Raw genomic sequence first — 21,659 nt, 5'->3', positions numbered from 1 at the left:
TGCTCTATTGCCCAGGCTGGAGTGCAGTGGTGTGATCTCAGCTCACTGCAACCTCTGCCTCCTTGGTTCAAATGATTCTCTTGCCTCAGCTTCCAAGTACCTGAGATTACAGGAGCCTGCCACCACGCCTGGCTAATTTGTGTATTTTTTAGTAGAGACTGGGTTTCGCCATGTTGGCCAGACTGGTCTCAAACTCCTGACCTCAAGTGATCTGCCCACCTCGGCCTCCCAAAGTGCTGGGATTATGGGTGTGAGCCACTGTGCCCCGTGAAGTATGCAACTTTTTTTAAGGTTGGTTGTTTTATTAGGTCAGAATCCTTTCTGGAGAGGCGGTATCATTAACTTACTCTCCCATCAAGGGGGCACACATCTCATTGCATCCCCACCAAGGAGCAGAGTGCTAGTGTCTTATGCCTTGATTAATTTCATGGGTGACTACTGACATCTGGTTTGATTCATTTTCTTTGATTATGAATGGGGTTGATTGATCTGTAGCTTGGCTGTCTCTCTGTGAAAGACAGCTGGAGGTAATCCCCTATGGAACTGCCTGCCCAGGGGTGCTGGGACCCCACCCCAGTTCCCTATGGCTGACGCAGTTGGGAGGGTGAGCAGGGAGTCAGCCACATGTGGCTGGCGGGGCAGCTGGGTGGCTGTGTGTCCGGGTGGCTGGGTGGCATGGTGTCCAGGTGGCTGAGTGGCAGGGTGTCTGGGTGTCCAGGTGGTGGCATGTCCAGGTGGCAGGGTGGCAGGGTGTCTGGGTGGTGGGACAGCAGGGTGTCTGCGTGTCCAGGTGACAGAGTGTCTGGGTGGTGGGATGGCAGGGTGTTTGGGTGTCTGTGTGTCTGGGTGATAGGGTATCCTGGTGGTGGGGTCTGTGGGTGGAGGGGTCTCCAGGTGTCCACGTGGCAGGGTGTCTGGGTGGAGGGTTTTCCAGGTGGTGGGGTAACTGGGTGTCTTGGTGTCTGGGGAACAGGGTATCTGGGTATCCAAGTGGCAGGGTGTCTAGGTGGTGGGGTGGCTGAGTGCCCAGGTGTCCAAGTGGCTGAGTGGCAGGGTGTCCAGGTGTCTGGGTGGTGGGGTGTCCGGCTATCTTGGTGTCAAGTGTCTGTGTGTCTTGGTGTCAGGTGTCTGGGTGTCCGGGTGTCCAGGTTTCTGGGTGTCAGGTTTCTCGGTGTCTGGGTGGTGAGGTGTCTGAGTGTCCGGGTGTCTGGGTGTCCGGGTGTCCAGGTGTCCAGGTGGTGGGGTGTCTGGGTGTCTGAGTGGCAGGGTGTCTGGGTGGCAGAGGGTCTGGGTGTTTGGGTGTCCAGGTGTCCAGGTGGTGGGTTGTCCAGGTGTCCAGGTAGTGGAGTGTCTGGGTGTCTGGGGGTTGGGGTGTCTGGGTATTGGAGTGGCAGGGTATCTGGATGGTGGGGTGGCTGAGTATCCAGGTGTCCAAGTGACTGAGTGGCAGGGTGTTCAGGTGGCAGGATGTCTGGGTGTCCGGGTGGTGGGGTGTCAGGTTTCTGGGTATCAGGTGTCTGGATGTCTGGGTGTCTGAGTGTCTGGGTGTCTGAGTGTCCGGGTGTCTGGGTGTCGGGTGTCTGGGTATCCGGGTGTCTGGCTGTCAGGTTTCTGGGTGTCTGGGTGTCGGGTGTCTGGGTATCTGGGTGTCTGGGTGTCAGGTTTCTGGGTGTCTGGGTATCCGGGTGTCTGGGTGTCAGGTTTCTGGGTGTCTGGGTATCTGAGTGTCTGGGTGTCTGAGTGTTGGGTGTCCAGGTGTCTGGGTGTCTGGTGTCAGGTGCCTGGGTGTCCGAGTGTCACTTGGATACCTGGATACTCAGCCACCCCACCATCCAGACACCCTGCCACTCGAATATCCAGACACCCCAACCCCCAGACACCCAGACACTCCACTACCTGGACACCTGGACAACCCACCACCTGGACACCTGGATACCCAAACACCCAGACCCTCTGCCACCCAGACACCCTGCCACTCAGACACCCAGACACCCCACCACCTGGACACCTGGACACCCAGACACCCAGACACTGAGACACCTCACCACCCAGACACCCAGACAGCTGACACCCAGACACCTGGACACCCAGACACCCAGACACCTGACACCGAGACACCCAGACACTTGATACCAAGACACCCGGACATCCCACCAGGTGTCTGGGTGTCAGGTGTCTGGGGGTCCAGGTGTCAGGTGTCTGGGTGTCAGGTGTCTGGGTGTCAGCTGTCTGGGTGTCTGGGTGTCTGGATGTCAGGTGGCTGGGTGTCTGGGTATCTAGTGTTTGGGTGTCTGGGTGTCCAGGTTTCTTGGTGTCAGGTGTCTGGGTGTCCAAGTGTCCAGGTGTCAGGTGTCTGGGTGTCAGGTGTCTGGGTGTCAGGTGTCAGGTGTCTGCATGTCTGGGTATCTGGGTGTCCAGGTGTCTGGATGTCAGGTTGTCTGGGTGTCCAGGTATCAGGTGTCTGGGTGTCTGGGTGTCTGGTGTTTGAGTGTCTGGGTGTCTGGTGTTTGAGTGTCTGGGTGTCTGAGTGTCTGGGTGTCCAGGTGCCTGAGTGTCAGGTGTCTGGGTGTCAGGCATCTGGGTGTCAGGTGTCTGGGTGTCAGATGTCTGGGTGTCTGGGTATCTGGGTGTCTGGGTGTCTGTGTGTCTGGAGGTCAGGTGTCTGGGTGTCCGAGTGTCTGGGTATCTGGGTGTCGAGTATCTTGGTGTCATGTGTCAGGTGTCTGGGTGTCCAGGTATTCGGGTGTCTGGGTGTCAGGTATCAGGTGTCTGGGTGTCAGGTGTCGGGTGTCTGGGTGTCTGGGTGTCCAGATGTCAGGGTGTCAGTTGTCTGGGTGTCTGGGTGTCAGGTGTCAGGTGTCTGGGTGTCTGGGCATCTGGGTGTCTGGGTGTCTGGGTGTCTGGATGTCAGGTGTCTGGGTGTCCAGGTGTCAGACGTCTGGGTATCTGGGTGTCCGGTGTTTGGGTTTCCAGGTATCTGGGTGTATGGGTGTCTGAGTGTCAGGTGTCTGAGTGTCCAGGTGTCCAGGTGTCTGGGTGTCAGGTGTCTGAGTGTCTGGGTATCTGACTGTCTGGGTGCCAGGTGTCTGGGTGTCTGGGTGCCAGGTGTCTGGGTGTCCAAGTATCTGGGTGTCAGGTGTCTGGGTGTCTGTGTGTCTGGGTGTCAGGTGTCCGGGTGTCAGATGTCTGGGTGTCAGGTTTCTAGGTGTTGGGTGTCCAGGTGTTTAGCTGTCAAGTTTTTGGGTGTATGGGTATGTGGGTGTCTGGGTGTCCCCAGGTGCCTGGGTGTCAGGTGTCTGGGTGTCCAGGTGTCTGGGTGTCTGGGTGTCAGGTGTCTAGTGTCAGGTTTCTGGGTGTTGAGTGTCCAGGTGTCTGGGTGTCAGGTGTCTGGGTGTCTGAGTGTCAGGTGTCTAGGTGTCTGGGTGTCAGGCGTCTCAGTGTCTGGGTGTCAGGTGTCTCGGTGTCCGGGTGTCCAGGTGTCCGGGTGTCAGGTGTCTGGGTGTCAGGTGTCCGGGTGTCTGGATGTCTGGGTGTCAGGTGTCTGGGTGTCAGGTGTCTCAGTATCTGGGTGTCAGGTGTCTGGGTGTCCGGGTATCTGGGTATCAGGTGTCTGGGTGATCGGGTGTCCAGGTGTCCGGGTGTCAGGTAGTCTGGGTGTCCGGGTGTCAGGTGTCCAGGTGTCTGGGTGTCAGGTGTCTGTGTGTTAGGTGTCTGGGTGTTCGGTGTCTGGGTGGCGGAGTGGCAGGATTTCTGGGCAGCAGGGCTGGCCCTTCCAGTGGGGCCTGGCCCAGGGAGAGCTGCGGGCTGCCGGTGGGCGAGGCAGCACTAAGGAAGACGCCTGGGTACAGGGACCCAGTCATCATTGGAATAAACCATCTGCTCTGGGCCAGCTATTAACCTGCTTCAGTGTTGCCGTTCCCAGGCAGATGGTACGTTTTAGCTGGATGACTGCTTTGTGTCTCTGGGCTGAGATGTCTGGCTGGAGGGATGCAGGCCTGGCTGTTGTGTGCAGAGCCAGGAGGCCACAGGGCTGGGGACACAGCCTGGCACCTGTGGTGGGAGGCGCCCTCTGGTGGGCCAGCCAGGCAAGGCCTTCCTCCTCCTCTCCCCAGGTCCCGGCCAGGCCAGGCCAGGCCCAGACAGTGGCTCTCAGAGGATGCTGTTTTGTAACTTCCCCAGGGGGAGGGTGCGGAGGCTGCCCTGAGGTTTTCATAAGCTGTGGACAGGACACCAGCCGCATCTCCTGCAACCTTTTTTGCATGTAAAACAGAATGTCTCTCAATCCCAACAACGAACATATGGGAATTAAGAAATGCAGGACTCATCTAAGCCATGCAGAAGAGGGCATTGCCTGATGTGCCTTCAGTTGGCTGGAGGAGAGAAATGGCTTTATTGGCTGGAGGAGAGAAATGGCTTTATTAGCTGGAGGAGGCCTCTAGGACCATGATGACAGCCACAGGTCAGCAGGCCAAGCTCGGGCCTGGCCAGCCGTGTCGCAGCCTTGGCGTCAGCTGTGGGTGCCCCCAAGTCCTGGCATAGGAGGGAGCTGAGAGGTGTTTTTCTAAGCCATGGATGTGGTGGCTGTTTATTTTATTTTTCTGGGTTTTAAGAGAAGGACTTTACTCATTCTTGTTAGCAAGTAAGCAAATGCAAATATAATATCCAGGAGATATCTGTTATATACCATGTTAATTAGTAAAAATAAATACAAATGATCAAACCCACAGCTGGCAGGGCTGAGGGAAAACGGTATACACATACGTCCACACACGCACGTGCATACACACACACACACGTACATGCAGAAGGCGATACATAGCAATGCAGTCTTTTGGGAGAGTGATTTGATGAAAAGGAAAATCACAGGAACTATAAAATCATATATACCTCCCAGCCAACCAATTTCACTTCAGGGAAAACATTCCAATAAAATAATTCAAGTGGAAAACAATAAAGATATTCATAGCACTGCTGTTTATAATAGCAGGAAAAAAAAAAGGGAAAGAATTCCAATTCTGACCAAAAAGGAAATAGTTAGACTATGTATGTGAACAAGAGGCTGGAATCCTAATAGTCAAGTGTAACAAACAGAGAACAGGGCTGGGCACGTGACATTCTGTGGATGTATCCCCCCACCATGCCACACACACACGTTTATTTACCTTACCACAAATTCATGCTTCAGTGCTTGGAGGAAATAAGAAAGAGGGCTTGCAGGCTGGGCGCAGTGGCTCACATCTGTAATGCCAGCACTTTGGTAGGCTGAAGCGGGCAGATCACCTGAGGTCAGGAGTTCGAGACCAGCCTGGCCAACATGGCGAAACCCCATCTCTACTAAAAATACAAAAATTAGCTGGGCGTGGTGGTGGGCACCTGTAATCCCAGCTACTTGGGAGGCTGAGGCAGGAGAATTGCTTGAACCCAGGAGGCAGAGGTTGCAGTGAACCGAGGTCACACCACTTCACTCCACCCTGGGCGACAGAGCAAGACTCCATCTCAAAAAAAAAGAAAAAAGAGGGATTGCAGATGGTGCTGTGATCCTAGTGGTTCTCCCACCCGATGAAGGCATGGCTCAGAGGGAACAGACAGGCAGGCATGGGCGTCTCATGCCTGAGTTCTAGTGTTTAAAATGTGAGTTATTTATGTATCCCTAAACCAAACAAGAGCCAGCCTGATCAGATTTTTGGACAGCCAGCCAGGTCCTCATCTCCCTGGGGCTGCCTCTGGGGACCGTTAAAGGCCATCACTCAGGAAGAGTGCTCACAGCCCACCTTGGATCTTGCCGTCCTTAGAGAAGTGGTCCCACCACAACATTCAGTTCCAAAGCACCATCCCAGATCCTGAGACCCATGAGAGCTTGATCTGATGTGCTTGTTCCCACTGACCAAGGCAGGAGGGCCGGCTGTGCTGGGGGCTGTTTTGGGTTCTTCTATGTCAGCGCTATCCAACATGAATAGAATACAAGCCAAACGTGAGTTTTACCATGGGCAGGTGTATACAAACCTACCCCAACATCTGAGGAAGCTGAGAGGCCAAAGAAAGAGGCTGGCATATCTAGTTCCTTAGAAAGAATCATTCAGTAGGGACTTACGGACAGAAGCCATGTCTGTGTCTTGGCAGTGGCAAGACAAGATGGTGGACCCCGCGCCATCACCCCCAAGACCCAGGACTTGTATACCAGAGGGGAGGGTGGTTCAGAAGGGATGTGTAGACAGTTGAAGTAGGATAACATCAAGGTTGTTTGACCTAAGGATTTATGGTAAGTACCTGCAATCATACAAGAAATGATAGAGAAATTGGGATCTTAGAGGCCTTCCTGGAATGGGGGTTCATCAGAAGCCAACTTGGCAGATTAGTATCCAAGATGGAGCTTCTTTGGCCTCCAAAGTGAGTCACGTGTAACTTGAGATTTTCTCATAACCCACACTTTTAAAAAGTAGGAACAAACAGAAGAAATTAATTTAATAATATGTTTTTTAACCTGATATCCAACCTATTATCATTTCAACATGTAATCAATATAAAAGATTATTGAGATGATTTCCATTTTTTTCATATTAAGCCTTCGAAACGTGTTGTCTATTTTACACTTGCTAGCACATCTCAATTCTGACTAGTCACATGTGGCCAGTGGCTAGCATATTGGGAATCACAACTCTATAAAATACACAATAGAAAGTATAAAAATGAAAGATTTCTTTTTTCTTTTCCACTCAGGTTGCCGGTGATACAGACACTCCTTTCAGAGCCAGGAACCACTCTTTTTTTCTGTCTCTCCTCTGTTCTGAAATTTAGCATCTGGGCTTGTTTGATATCCTTGTTAGAGGTCAAGAGCAGGTTGGGAGGTGCTGTAGACTGAATTGTGTCCCCCTTAAAATTCCTGTGTTGAAGCCCTAACCCCCAGAGTGATGGTGTTTGGAGATGGGACCTTAGGAAGGTGATATGGTTTGGCTCTGTGTCCCCATCCAAATTTCATCTTGTAGCTCCTATAATTCCCACGTGTTGTGGGAGGGACCTGGTGGGAAATAATTGAATCATGGGCGGGGGGATCATCCCTGTGCTGTTTTTGTGATAGTGAATAAGTCTCACGAGATCAGATTTTTTTTTTTTTTTTGACGGAGTTTCACTCTTGTTGCCCAGGCTGGAGTGCAATGGTCTGATCTTGACTCACTGCTACCTCTGCCTCCTGGGTTCAAGTGATTCTCCTGCCTCAGCCTCCCGAGTAGCTGTGATTACAGGTGCCTACCACCACGCCCAGCTAATTTTTCTTTTTTGTATTTTTAGGAGAGATGGGATTTCACCATGTTGGCCAGGCTGGTCTCAAACTCCTGGCCTCAGGTAATCCGCCCGTCTCGGCCTCTAAAAGTGGTTGGATTACAGGCATGAGCCACCGTGCCCAGCCAATCTGATGGTTTTAAAAATGGGAATTTCCCTGCACAGGGTCTCTTTATTTGCCTGCTGCCATCCACATAAAATGTGACTTGCTCCTCTTTGTCTTGCCCCATGATTGTGAGGCCTCCCTAGCCATGTGGAACTGCAAGTGCATTAAACCTCTTTCTTTTGTAAATTACCCAGTCTCAGGTATGTCTTTATTAGCAGTGTGAAAGCGGACTTGATGCAGGAGGTAAGGGGGTTTAGATATGGCCATGAGGGTGGGGCCTTCATCCTGGGATTAGTGTCCTCATAAGAAGAGACACCAGAGGGCTCTGTTGCTCTTTCTCCTCCATGTGATGACTCAGCAAGAAGGTGGCCGTCTGTAAGCCAGGAAGAGAGCCCTCCCCAGAACCCAACCATGCTGGCTCCCAGATCTTGGACTTCTAGCCTCCTGAACTGTGAGAAAATAAATTTAAGCTGCCCAATCAATGACATTTTGTCATGGCAGCCCAAGCTGACAGGTTGGGAGTTGGGAGAGTTGAGGGCTTACTGGTGGCTTCCCTAATCTGTGCTCTCTAACCAGACCTAAGGCAGGGGCATTTCCCCCTCCCTTGAGATGTCAAATAGACCTGGTGTGTGGGTGAGACCACCTACCTGAGTGACTCCAAGCATCGCCAGTGAGAGGGTCACTTACTGCAGCCACTGGGCACCAGCCTTGTCCTGCCCCAGGAACAGGCAGCCCTGCTGTGGAGGCCTTGGATGATGGCATCCCCAAGTTCCTATCCCCTCTCCCTCCAACTGCCTCATCAGATATGGCTGAAGAAAAACACCTGACCACATTGACTGCTCTCACTTTTTTTTTTTTTTGAGATGGAGTCTCGTCTGTCACCCAGGCTGGATTTCAGTGGAGTGATCTCAGCTCACTGCAACCTCCACCTCCCAGGTTCAAGCGATTCTCCTGCCTTAGCCTCCCAAGTATCTGGGATTACAGGCATCTGCCACCACGCCCAGCTAATTTTTTAATTTTTATTTTTGTATTTTTAGTAGAGATGGGGTTTCACCATGTTGGCCAGGCTGGTCTTGAACTCCTGACCTCATGTGATCCCCCCGCCTCGGGCCTCCCAAAGTCCTGAGATTACAGGCATGAGCCACTGTGCCTGGCCTTTTTTTTTTTTTTTAAACAGAGTCTCGCTCTGTTGCCCAGGCTGGAGTGCAGTGGCAAGATCTCGGCTCATTGCAACCTCTGCCTCCTGAGTTCAAGCGGTTCTCCTGCCTCAGCTTCCCTACTAGCTGGGATTACAGGTGCCCGCCACCACGCCCAACTAATTTTTGTATTTTTGGTAGAGACAGGGTTTCACCACGTTTGCCAGGCTGGTCTTGAACTCCTCATCTCAGATGATCTACCCACCTCGGCCTCCCAAAGTGCTGAGATTACATGTGTGAGCCACCATGCCTGGGCTTCTCTCACCTTCAATTCTTCATCACTAAGCTCAGAGGGGGCTGCCATGTTGCTGGCAATTATCCCAGGAAAATACGGGATAATTGCCAGCAACATGGCAGCCCCCTCTGAGTTCATTTCCTCTCCCTCTAACCTCTTCTCTCTTGGGCTCCCAACCCTTCCTCTCCTGTTCTTTCTCTCCAGTGGTGACCTTGCTTCCCATTTCCCTAGGAAAAATGAAGCCTCCAGAAGAGAATGCCCACCATCTCCACCTGCACTCAGGCAACCATCTTTCTTCCTGTTACTGTGAACTGACCTTGCTTTAAGGCCACCTCCTCCACTGGACACCAGGTCCACCCCCTCTCCCATCAGGGGATGCCACTCTAGTCATTCTCCTCTTCCTCTCTGTGTCACTGATTCCCCCTCTCCACAGCCTCCACAGGTTCATTAGCATGAACACGCACATTTGTTCTCCAATATTAAAAACAACCAAAATGTCAATGAGTATTAGGACAATTTTGTTGGGGAATAATTGTCTTTTCAACCAGTAGTGCTAGGACTACTGCATGACTACATGCAAAATAATGAAGTCTACTGCCTACCTTATACCATGTAAAAAAATTATGTCAAAGCCAGGTGCAGTGGCTCACACCTGTAATCCCAGCATTTTGGGACCCAAAGTTGGGAGGATCACTTGAGGCCAAGAGTACAAGACCAGCCTGGGCAACATAGTGAGACCCTGACTCTACAAAAAATAGAAAAATTAGCCAGGTGTGGTGGCATGCACCTGTAGTCCCAGCTACTTGGGTGGCTGAGGTGACAGGATTGCTTGAATCCAGCAATCCTCCTTTTTTTCCTGTTAGAAAAAAAAAATTAAGTCTAAACAGACATAAATGTAACAACTAAAACTATAAAACCCTTAGATGAAAACATAGGAATAACTCTTTATGACCTTGGATTAGGCAGTGGTTTCTTAGATATGACATAAACACACAAGTGGCAAATGAAAAAATAGGTTAATGGGATTTCATCAAAAATTTAAAACTTACGTGCATTGGGCACTATCAAGAAAGTGAAAAAAACAAACCATGGAATGAGAGAAAATAACTGCAAATCATGTATCTGATAAGGGACTAGTATCTAGAATGTATAAAGAATGCTCGCAACTAAGCAATAAAAAGACAAACGTGGCTGGGCTTGGTGGCTCATGTCTATAATACCAGTATTTTGGGTGGCAGAAGCAGGAAGATTGCTTCTGCCAGCCCAGGAGTTCAAGACCAGACTGGGCAACATAATGAGACTCCATCGCTACAAAAAAAGAGGCAAATGTCCTAATTTAAAAGTGGACACTAAGCGCATGAGAAGAGGCTCAACACCATCAGCCGTCAAAACCACAATATACCACTTTTTCCCTACTAGGATGGTTAAAATAAAGAGAATAACAAGTATTGATGAGGTTGGGAAGAAATCAGAACCTTTGTACATTGCTGGTGGGAATGTAAAATGATGTAGCCGTTTTGGAAAACAGTTTGACAGCTTCTCAAAACGTTAAACAGAGTGACTGCATGACTCAGCAATTCCACCCCTAGGCATATACCCAAGAGAGTGGAAAACATATGTCCAGACAAAAACACACACACACCAGTGTTCACAAGCAACATTACTCACAATAGCCAAAAAGCATTACAACTAAATGTCCATCATCTGGTGAATAATAACAAAATGTGTAGAACATAGGATGGGCTATTACTCAGCCATAAAAAGGAATTGCATACTGATCCGCGCTAAACATGGATGAATCTTGAATATTATACTAAGGCCAGGCACGGGGCTTACGCCTGTGATCCCAGCACTTTGGGAGACCGAGGCGGGTGAATCACTTGAGGTCAGGAGTTCGAGACCAGCCTGGGCAACATGGTGAAACTCTGTCTCTGCTAAAAATACAAAAATTAGCTGGGCGTGGTGACGCATGCCTGTAATCCCAGCTCCTCGGGAGGCTGAGGCAGAAGAATCACTTGAACCCAGGAGGTAGAGGTTGCTGTCAGCCGAGATCGTGCCACTGTACTGCAGCCTGGGTAACACAGTGAGACTCCATCAAAAAAAAAAAAAAAAATTATACCGAGTGAAAGAAACTAGTCACAAAAGACCATGTATTGTATAATTCCATTTACATGAAATGTGCAGAAAAGGCAAATCCACAGAGGTGGAAAGTAGGTTCGCCGTTGCCAGGGGCTGGGAGGTGGGAGGAACGGGTAGTGACTCGTCATGGGTGTAGGGTTTCTCTGTGGGGTGATGAAACTGTTCTGAAATTGGATAGTGGTGATGGCTGCACAATCTTGTGACTACTAAAAACCACTGAGTTGGATACTCCAAAGAGGGGGCGGATCTTATGGGATGTGAACAATATCTCAAAAATGCTATTTTTTCAAAACCCCAAACTCGCTTTGGTTCCACTTCTCTCTCCCTTTGCATCAGCATTCCTCCGGTGAGTTTCTGTGCTTGCCGCTGCTAATCTGTCTCTTCCGTCCTCTCGTTCCTTTCCCGCAGGCATCTGCTCCCACCACCCCACCAAGATCCTTCATCAAGGGCACCACTGACCTCCACGTTCCTAAGCCCGAGGTCAGTTTCCAGTCCTCCCCTTCCTTGGTCCCTCCCTCCTGGCTGCGCCTCTGGCCCCAGGCTCTCCTGGCCTTCCCCTTGCAGCGGGACTGGCTGCTCCTTCTCCATCTCCTCTGCTGCTCCGACCTCCGATAGCTGACCTGCAGACCCTGGGGTGTCCCAGGGCTCATTTCTTGGAGCCTTCTCTTCCTATCCACACTCACCCAGCCCCTGACTTGCCTACTCACTGGTGACTCCCAAATGTGTTTGGGCAGCCTGGATTTTCCTCTGGCCCACTCAGCCTCTCCATATCTAGTAGGAATCTCCACCTTGTCATTAAAAAACAAAGTTCCTGCCCAGCATGGTGGCTCACAGCTGTAATCCCAGCACTTTGGGAGGCCAAGGCAGAAGGATCGCTTGAGCCCAGGAGTTCTAGACCCACCTGGGCAACACAGCTAGACCTCTACAAAAAAATAAAAAATAAATTAGCCGGGCATGGTGGTGCACCTGTAGTCCCAGCTACTTGGGAGGCCAAGGCAGGAGGATCGCTTGAGCCTGGGAGTTCTAGACCCACCTGTGCAACATAGCCAGACCTCTCCAAAAAAATAAAAAATAAATTAGCCGGGCATGGTGGTGCACCTGTAGTCCCAGCTACTCTAGAGGCTGAGGCGGGAGGATTGCTTGAGCCGAGGAGGTTGAGGCTACAGTGAGCTATGATGGCACCACTGCACTCCACTTCAGCCTGGGTGACAGAGCAAGCCCCTGTCTAAAAAAAAAAAAAGCTAAGTAAGACTGTGTGTGCCACACGCTGTGGCTCCTGGCATATCCCAGGCCCTCCGCCATCTCCTCTCCCCCTCACCTCTCTGCAGTCATCTTGGCACCCTCCGCCTCATTCACTGCTCTAGGCCCCTCCAGGCTCAGGAGGTTCCTACCCCAGGACATTTGCAGCTGCTCCTCCCTCTGTCTGGAATATTCTTCTCCCAAGTAGCTGCATAGCCCTCTGCCTCCCTTCCTTTAGGTCTTGACTCAATTTCACCTTTCCAGTGATGCCATGTCTGGCTGCTCCATCTGAAACCGTAGCCACCCAGCCCTCACCGTCTCTTCCCTTCTCTGTCATTACCCATAGCACTTACTACTCGCTAATACACTCTATTATATGTTTTTTTCCCCAAATGAGACAATCTATAGCAAGGGGAAGAATGTTGAGATAATCTTTTCAGCAAACACACAAGCCCCTCAGCAGAGCTGAACTAAAAAGGGCAGGCACGTGTATTTCCAAACAGTGTGGCCCCTCTTTGCTGGGAATCTTCCTAGTGCTGGAAAAGATGCAGATGCCACAGATATGAGAGACTCTAACACATTTTTTTTTTTTTTTTTTGTGATGGAATCTCGCTTTATCGCCCAGGCTGGAGTGCAGTGGTGCGATCTTGGCTCAATGCAACCTCCGCCTCCCAGGTTCAAGCAATTCTCCTGCCTCAGCCTCCCGAGTAGCTGGTATTACAGACATGCACCACCACACCCAACTAATTTTTGTATTTTTAGTAGAGACAGGGTTTCACCATGTTGGTCAGGCTGGTCTCGAACTCCTGACCTCGTGATCCACCCACCTCGGCCTCCAAAGTGCTGGGATTACAGGCCTGAGCCACCGTGCCCGGCCACTCTAACACACTTTCAGTTGTAGTTACTGTCTGTCTCCCTTCACTAGAGTGGACTCCCAGAGGGGAGAGATTTTTGTCTTATTTACCATTGTAGCCCCAGTGCTTGTAGGTACTCAAATATTTGCTGAATGAATAAATAAAATATTTAAAAGCTGGCGGGCAGTTTTCTCCTCTTTCATTTTTTGCACCAATGCCAACCTGTGCATGCCATAAATATGCTGACTGCCTCTTTGGTTTGGAACTGGGCCTAACACCCACACGATGTCAGTCTCAGGCACCCGCTCTGCCTGAATGCTGGAGGAACAGCTGCCCCTCCCGTCCCCAGACCGACCCCATGAAACTGGTGAGGCGAGCTCCGATTCCAGGACAGTGTCTGAGACCTGTATTCCAAGTAACCCACCAGAATGATCACAGTGAAAGGACTGAAAACACCAAGTGCTGGTGAGGGCGTGGAGCAACTGGAACCCTCATACACACCAGTGGAGTGCAGATTCATGTAACTACTACAGAAAACTGGCGGCCTCTACTCAATCAGATATGCATATACCCGGTGGGCCAGTTCCACTCCTAGTTATGTACCTAGTGTTTCTGTCCACCAAAAGACATCTACAGAAATGCCTGTAGCAGCTTTATTCATAACAACCCCAAACTGGAAACCACCTGGATGTCCATCAACAGTGCGTGGGTAAGAAACTGTGGAAGGTTCATAAAACAGGATACTTTACCACGATGCAAAAGAACAAATGCCAGATGCCCACAACAATATGGAGGAATCTCACAGGCATAAGTTTAAGCAAAAGAAGTCAGCATAGCTGGGCAAGGTGGCTCACGCCTGTACTCCCAGCATTTTGGGAGGCTGAGGCAGGTGGATCACATGAGGTCAGGAGTTTGAGACCAGCCTGGACAACACGGTAAAACCCCGTCTCTACTAAAAATACAAAAATTAGCCAGGTGTGGTGGCACATGCCTGTAGTCCCAGCTACTCGGGAGGCTAAGGCAGGAGAATTGCTTGAACCCGGGAGGCAGAGGTTGCAGTGAGCCGAGATCGTGCCACTGCACTCCAGCCTGAGCAACAAAAGTAAAACTCCATCTAAAAAAAAAAAAACACAAAAAAAAAGAAGTCAGCACAATGCACACAGTGTGATTCTATTTATATGACGTTTTTTAAAAACAGGGCCAGGTTGCCGGGCGCGGTGGCTCATGCCTGTAATCCCAGAACTTTGGGAGGCTGAGGCAGGTGGAGCACCTGAGGTCGGGAGTTCAAGACCAGCCTGACCAACATGGAGAAATCCAGTCTCTACTAAAAATACAAAATTAGCCAGGTGTGGACTCAGGAGGCTGAGGCAGGAGAATCACTTGAACTTGGGAGGCGGAGGTTGTGATGAGCTAAGATAGCGCCATTGCACTCCAGCCTTGGCAACGAGAGTGAAACTTCATCTCAAAAAAAAAAAAACAAACAAAACAAAAAACAACAACAACAAAAAAAACAGGACCAGGCATGGTGGTGCACATCTGTAATCCCAGCACTTTGGGAGGCCAAGGCAGAAGGATCACTTGAGGCCAGAAGTTTGAGACCAGCCTGGACAACAAACTGAAATCTCATCTTTAGAAAAAAAGTTAGCCAGGCATGGTAGCACATGCCTGTAGTCCCAGCTACTCAGGAGGAGTAGGGAGGATCGCTTGAGCCTGGGAGGCTACAATGAGCCGAGACTGCACCACTGCACTCCAGCCTGGGTGACAAGACCTTGTCTCTAAACAAAATAAAACAAAACAAAACAAAACACCAGGAAAAACTTGTGATAGAAATCAGAACACCAAGTAACCTTTGGAGGCAGGTACCATGGGGACGGGCTAGAGGGAGACTTCTGGGACTGCTGGAGATCTGGATGGTGCCTTACACACTTACGTGTTTGTGCAAAATCTCACTGAGGTGCACACTTAAGATCTGTGCACTTTACTGGGTGTAGGTTTTACCTTGATTTAAAAAAGAAAGAAAAGGCTGTACTGCCAACATTTTGGGAAGCTGAGGTGGGAGGATGGCTTGAAGCCAGCCTGGGCAAGAGCAAGACCCAAGCTTTCCAAAAATTAAAAAGTTAGCCAGGCATGGTGGTGCACACCTGTAGTCCCAGCTACTTGGGAGGATCGCTTGAGCCCAGGAGGTCGAGGCTGCAGTGAGCTGTGATCATACCACTACACTCCAGCCTGGGTGACAGAGCGAGACCCTGTCTCAAAACAAAACAAAAAGAAAAGAAAACAAAAGTCCCAAGGCAGGGATGACCCATCGCCACATGGCTGGCTGTCCCCACTCTCTGAACTGTGTGTCCGGCCCCCATGCTAATTTCTCCCAGTACTCCTTTGAGGACTTACTGATTTCCCTAACCGCTTGCTCCTTGACCTTTGGAGAGGACACCAATATGCAGAAATACCTTGGACCTAGTAGTAGGGACACGGGCGCTTTAACAGAGTAAGCCCTGGAAGCCGCTGGGTTCTTCCGCATCAGTGTCCTCTAAGTTGAGGTTTGTCTCTGAATTCTGTTGCCTCCTCCGGCTTTGACTCATGTTCATCAGCCGTGAGGGGGAGACCTGCTGAGTGAGAGTCCATTGTTTTGGGTTTGCACAAAGGCGCCAGTCACTGTGTCCATTGTGCTACTGAATGCTCCCCTTCACATCTTGGAGTTGCTCATTGCTGGGTGGTTTTCTCTGTAACTGATTTAAAACCGTGCAGTGCTCCCCAACTACGGACAGGCTCATTCTGGGAATGAATCTAGACCCCAAGATCCTCACCTCCATCCCTTTCCCTGGACTCTCCTGAGAGCCCTGCACCGTGACTCACCTGCTGGTGTGCTCCAGGGACCACCCCTCCCTCTGCACAGTGGGAGTAGAGGCTTTTGACCCTCAAAGACTATAGTCGGGGGATGGGTGCACTGGCTGCTTAGACCCCTGTCCTGTGCCCATTTCTAGAGCCAGGATATGGGTGGGGTCAGCCGTATCAGGCTGTGCAGCAGAAGGTGAGGAAGAGGAGGTTCCGGGTGGAGAAGTGCTGTGCCACTGGCAGCTGCCACCCTGGGAGCTCACTCCCAGCCACACGTGGGCATGGAGCTATGAATGTGCCGGGTTTCAAGGTGCAGAAACAGCATGAACGCAGAATAGAGGGGGCTTGGGGAGCCTGTGGCCTGCCACGGGGTGTATGACCAGCACCCCCGGCCCCCACGAAACGGTCTTGTTAGAAGCCCAGTCCCCCCTCCCGCCCCCGACCCCCAAAACTTGCTGAGCAGTTGTGCTTTGACTCTTGCTCTCTCTGTACCAACTCCAGCTCTGGCGTGGGGGAAAGAAACCCTCAGGGATTGGGTTGTGCCAGCAAGTGGTTATGGCTGGGGCAGGCGAGGTTCAAAGGCCTCTGCTTCATGGTGGGGGCCCCCAGGAGGTCTGGTGGCTGCTGAAATCCAAAGGCATTTTGGTATTTTAAGGGTATTAGTAATTTGCAAACTGTACGAAGTGTCCCAGTGTGCTGCTCCAGAATCCCGGAGCCCAGGTCCCCATAGCCCAGGTGCTGCCGTGGGCAGCTAGAGGAAGCATGATGGGCGTAGCTGTGCTGCTGCGGGAGACAGGGACTGCCTCGGGCACTTCTGGGCAGCCCAGATGACCAGCCCCAGGCCCTAGGCTCTCTGCCTCCCAGCCTGGGACCACAGTGGGCAGGCCCTCTTCTCCAGAAAGCCTGTGTTTCAGGGTCAGAATGTCTGGCAGGAACCCTGAGCTGATGCTCCAAGGATTGAAATTTCCCCTTGTTGTTGCCCAGAAATGTCTGGCTCTGCCTGCCCACATCCCCATTCCTTCCCTGCCTGCTGCTCTGCTCTGAGCATTGGAACATTCCATTCGGAGCTGGACTTGGTGGTGGTGATGGAAGCCAGCAGGAGAGGGGGCTTGGGAGGCCAGAGGCCACACAGCTGGCCGCAGCTCTGCTCCTGGCCCGACCCTGACACACAAGTGCAGGGTGCGCCCACCCTCTGGGCCCAGTTTCCAGCCCTGACGCCAAAGGGGATGATGGAGAGGAGGCTGGAGTCTCCCTGGGGTCACTCCCTGTCCTCCCTTCTACACTGGCCCACACCTGCCTCTGTGGCCTCGCCTGAGCTACTCCTGCAGGGCTACTCCTTCAGGTGCCTGAATGCACCACAGATGCCTCCATTCTGGGCCTGGGGCCCTGGAAGGCGTAGGGGAGGAGGTGGAAGGAGCAAGAAAGGGTCGAGAGACACCTTAGGGTTTGGCTGGGTTGCCCAGGTGTAGGTGTTGGCAGAGGCAGGACAAGCGGGTTGGGCAAAGCCAATGCTGTCATTTTGGGACACATGGGCTTTGAGATCCCTGTGACATCTTCCCAGTGTCCTCCAGGAGCTAGGGAAGTTGACAATTCCTCCTTGCAAGGGAAGCACCTGTGCGATGCCCAGCGGTGCAGGACCATGGGTTGGGGGCCATGGAGGCCAAAAACAAATGAGAAACACCTGTGCTTTCAAGGAGCTCAGATGCCAAGGCCAGGTTTGGGGGGCACAGGCTGCCTGAGGCTCCTTGTAGAGAGTGGAGGTGGGAGAGCTGGAGCAGGGGCCACCGGGCCTCTGGGGGCACAGATGGGTGATCCACACTACCTGGGGCAAGCCAGGAAGGCTTCAGAGAGGAGGTGGCTTCTGTGCCAGGTTCACAGGAAGGGCCGGGCCAAAGTTCACAGGCAGACTGGGGAAATGGTGGGTATGGGGTCAGCAAGCAGCCCAGGACAGGCCGGAGCCCAGATCTGCTGGGCCGTCGAGGCAGACCCCTCCCTCTGCCCACTCTGGGCCCCTGCGTTGCCTGAGGTTTTGCTCCTGGGCACCGGTTCCATCAAGTCTGCTGAGGGCAGAGGCAGAGCACGGGCATGGACGGTGTGGGCGCCTCCCAGGTGAAGAGCCTAGATGCAGACAGAGGCAGAGGACCCTCCTTCTCCCAGCCAGCAAGGGCTGAGGGGCAGCCCTGGGCCTGCGGGCATGAGGTGTTAGGAGGCGGCCTCTCCCCTGCCCTCAGCCCCAGGAAGTTCACTTCCTGCACATCTCCTCAGAGACGGCCCCAGCGGAAGTGGTTGCCTTGGTTTGCGCGTGTGGCCCGGGTGGCAGCGGATCCTGGCTGGGAACTGGGTCAGCCTTCGAGTCACCTCCAGGCCCCATCCCAGGGGCTGAGCCCAGGAGCGGCTTTGCCTTCTCCTAGGCCTCTTTCTGGCCTTGTTCAAAGAACAGGCTGGGCAGGGAAGTGGCCAGGCCAGCGGAAACCCTCTGGTGCCAGCCTGGACGACAGCCCCATGGAAGCCTGGAGCCCGGCCTGTGATCAAGTCAGACCCAGCTCCAGAAAGCGCTACTTGGGTGGGGTGGGGTGGGCATTCCTGTCCCCACCTGAGAAGGCCACTCACATTTAGCGTCTTGGAGGGGGACTGTTCCCTAAACCCTGGGCCAGGCTGAGCCCTCCTGCTGGCCCTGCTCCTGTAGAAATACACCAGGAACACCAGTTCCCATCCACAGCCTGGCCTGGAGGCTCCAGGGTGAAGCTCAGTTGCTTTCATTATCATCCTCTCTACCCCGATGCCCCCAGCCCCATTTTCTACCTGACTCATTTATTCATTCAACATATGTTTAGTGCCAAGGACAGGAAAAGACAGTTACCAAAAAGGCCCAGAGTCCCAGTCCTCGTGGAGACTACAATCCTCTGATAAAGTCCTACCATCCTCTGAGGCTCAACCAAACACCGCCTCCTCCAGGAAGCCCACCCAGCTGTTTTGGGAGTTCCTTTCTCTGGCTTTGTCTATCCCTCTCTCAGGGCTCATGACATATCTCCTTTAGCCTTAGGATGGCCTCACGTGACCTGTCTCTGCCTCCTTGGAACCAGCGCATGGGTGGGCCTCAGTAAGTGGCAGTCGCTGCCACCATCAGCACCTGCACCCCATCATCATCAAGGAGGGACAAAATTCTTGGGGACCTGTGAACCCCCCGCCTGGCTCCCTGGCCTCTGGCAGGCAACACCCCAATGTTACCAGCATACATGATGGCGGGCCCATCTTTAAGAAAACTTGGCATGGAAAAATCCCAACCACCAAAGCCCACAGGTAGGGGCTACTTGACCTTTGTGAAAGTCTCCTTAGTGTCTGCAGCCTCTGGGTCCCGTGGGAACACTGCATCCTGCAGAGCTCTAAAGGGAGAGCTGGCTGGGTGCGGTGGTTCACGCCTGCCATCTCAGCACTTTGGGAGGCTGAGTTGGGTGGATCACCTGAGGTCAGGAGTTCGAAACCAGCCTGGCCAACATGGTGAAACCCCACCTCTACTAAAAATACAAAAATTAGCCGGGCGTAGTGGCACGCACCTGTAATCCCAGCTACTCGGCAGTCTGAGGCAGAAGAATCGCTTAGAACCCGGGAGGCAGAGATTGCAGTGAGCCAAGATCGCACCACTGCACTCCAGCCTAGGCGACAAGAGCAAGATTCTGTCTCAAAAAAATAAAAAAAATAATAATAAATAAAGGGGCTGTCATCAATCCCAAAGAGCCCTGGGGTCACAGCTGTGACTGTACTTGCCATCTTGAGCTGCACTGCTCTGGGCTGATTCCTGCAGGAGCGGTTCTGGCCTGCCCCTGTGGGTGGAGTGGTGGGGTTCTGATGCCCCTCAAATGCATGGGCCTGTTCTCGGACCCTCTCCTCACCCCTCTGCACCTCCTAGGAAGAGGCAGGGGACGAGGCAGGCGCCTCCCAGGAATCCCATGCTGCCTGTGCGAAGGACCGGCTTCTGGCAGGGACATGGAGTCCAGGCACAGCTGGGAGGAAGATTTGAGAGGTGGACAGCAGCACTCGGCTGGCAGGACAGTTGGTTCCCGTGTCCTTGCCAGGCCTTGCAAGCAAAGCCCCAGGCAGGAGCGTGAGGCTGGACCCTGGCCCAGCAGCCCCGTGCTCCTGCCAGACCTCAGGCTCAGCTCTGGGGAAAGGGAGCATCTGCAAACAGCAGAGGCCTCGGCCCGAGGCCTCCTGACCTTCCCAGGCGTGGGGGCGGAGTGCAGGCAATGAGCAAAGCTCAGCTGCATGGCTGGGACTGAAGACAACTTCCAGAGCCTCCAAGGAGCTTCCCCACCCAAGAAGGGGACTGGCAGCGGTGCTGTGGCGAAGCAGGAGAGACGGCTGCAAGCTCTACAGGCTGGCCTTCCCCTTCCGTGCTTGCTCCTTGAGGCAGGGCCCTCTCCGGGGACTGCCTGGGCAGCTGGCCTAGCTTCACCTGTCGACCCGAGCCTGGCCCAGGAGGCCATCTCTGGTGGAAAATAAACCTGATAGGAGTTGGAGACAGGGCCTCCAGGGCAGCACCTTCCCTTCCCGGGCCCACTGGCCAGGCCCACATCTTCCATTTTGGGTGGCTCTGCTCTCTCCCAGCATACTCCCCTCTGTGCCTCAGTGGCCAGGGACCCCGATTCATTCAAACTCACACTGGCCCCAAACACCATGCAGTCCTGGGGGTCATTCTGCTTCCTGGCGCCCCCTCGGCTGTCAGCCTGGAAGCTGACACTCAGTGCCTGTTGGATGTCTCAGCATAGGCTGGGTGTGTGGTGGCTCCCACCTATAATCCCAGCACTTTGGGAGGCTGAAGTGGGAGGATTGCTTGAGCCCAGAAGTTCGAGACCAGCCTGGGCAACATAGGGAAATCCTGTCTCAATAAATAAATAAATAAATAAATAAGAAATTAGCTGGGTGCCATTGGGTGTGCCTGTGGTCCCAGCTACTTGGGAGGCTGAGGTGGGAGGATGGCTTGAGCCTAGGAGGTCGAGGCTGCAGTGAGCCGTGATTGTGCCACTGTACTCCAGCCTGGGCGACAGAGCAAGACTCTGTTTCAAAAAAACAAACAAACAAACAAAAAACTTCTCAGCAGAACAGGGGAGGGGGCCTGCCCCTTGGAAGGAGCTGAGGATGGGAAGGAGGGCAGCTAAGGCTTCCAGTCCACAGCCAGAGCCAAAATCGGAGGCAGATGTGGCCTCAGTGAAGCGCAGGTCCGCCCTTGGGGATCCCAGGGAAGCGGACAGCTGCCGGCCTCCATGGCTGCCAGACCCCCTCTCCCACCAGCCACCCATGCACAGCAGTCAGGACAAATTCTCAAAAGCCGAGATCAGCCTTGCTGCGTGCAGAAGGCTCCGACAGCTCTGGGGCACCCGAGGTGGCTGCCCCGTGCCTCTGGGGGCCCAGCTCCAGCCACGCAGCTCAGGTCACAGGGGTCCCTTTCCTGCCTTTGTACTGACTGTTCCCTCTGCTGGAATGTCCTCTCCCCACCAGGCAGGCGTGGCTCACTCATTCTCAGCCCGTCCCCATCATAGCACCCTCCACCCTGGCTTCTGCACCTGTGTCTCCCCCACCATGCTGTGCGGGCCTTGTTTGTCTCACTCCCAGCGGTGTCCCCAGCAGCTGGCATGGCCCAGCTGGTGCGGGAGCAAGACCGCAGGTGTGAAGGCTCTGCGAAGGTCCTGGGCCACCCCAAGCCGTGGGCCCTTACAGGCCCTAACACCTTGGGACTTGGGGCAGCAGCAGTTCTGTTCCAGCCCTGCAGGGGAGAGGGACAC

At 53.0% G+C, this 21,659-nt stretch overlaps 6 annotated features.

The window, feature by feature from the left end:
- Positions 3,772-3,831: an enhancer, noted in NCBI's record as "active region_14415". NCBI's record gives its function as "activates an Ori minimal core promoter by ATAC-STARR-seq in GM12878 lymphoblastoid cells {active_cell/tissue: GM12878}" and the evidence as "EXISTENCE:reporter gene assay evidence [ECO:0000049][PMID:35858748]".
- Positions 7,453-8,004: an enhancer, noted in NCBI's record as "H3K27ac hESC enhancer chr19:30181743-30182294 (GRCh37/hg19 assembly coordinates)". NCBI's record gives its function as "activates a minimal SCP1, AML or CMV promoter by ChIP-STARR-seq in naive H9 embryonic stem cells {active_cell/tissue: H9 hESC(naive)}" and the evidence as "EXISTENCE:reporter gene assay evidence [ECO:0000049][PMID:30033119]".
- Positions 7,564-7,858: an enhancer, noted in NCBI's record as "tiled region #11339; HepG2 Activating DNase matched - State 12:CtcfO, and K562 Activating DNase unmatched - State 12:CtcfO". NCBI's record gives its function as "activates a minimal TATA promoter and a strong SV40 promoter by Sharpr-MPRA in HepG2 and K562 cells {active_cell/tissue: HepG2 | K562}" and the evidence as "EXISTENCE:reporter gene assay evidence [ECO:0000049][PMID:27701403]".
- Positions 7,577-7,774: a silencer, noted in NCBI's record as "fragment chr19:30181973-30182170 (GRCh37/hg19 assembly coordinates)". NCBI's record gives its function as "represses an EF-1alpha promoter that drives an FKBP-Casp9 reporter gene in an ReSE screen in K562 erythroleukemia cells {active_cell/tissue: K562}" and the evidence as "EXISTENCE:reporter gene assay evidence [ECO:0000049][PMID:32094911]".
- Positions 7,586-7,645: an enhancer, noted in NCBI's record as "active region_14414". NCBI's record gives its function as "activates an Ori minimal core promoter by ATAC-STARR-seq in GM12878 lymphoblastoid cells {active_cell/tissue: GM12878}" and the evidence as "EXISTENCE:reporter gene assay evidence [ECO:0000049][PMID:35858748]".
- Positions 8,005-8,557: an enhancer, noted in NCBI's record as "H3K27ac hESC enhancer chr19:30181190-30181742 (GRCh37/hg19 assembly coordinates)". NCBI's record gives its function as "activates a minimal SCP1, AML or CMV promoter by ChIP-STARR-seq in naive H9 embryonic stem cells {active_cell/tissue: H9 hESC(naive)}" and the evidence as "EXISTENCE:reporter gene assay evidence [ECO:0000049][PMID:30033119]".

The sequence above is a fragment of the Homo sapiens genome, chromosome 19 (genome assembly GCF_000001405.40).
Source record: "Homo sapiens chromosome 19, GRCh38.p14 Primary Assembly".
Classification (NCBI taxonomy): domain Eukaryota; kingdom Metazoa; phylum Chordata; class Mammalia; order Primates; family Hominidae; genus Homo; species Homo sapiens.
Note: the sequence above shows the minus strand (reverse complement) of the source record. Positions and strands in the feature narration are given on the sequence as shown.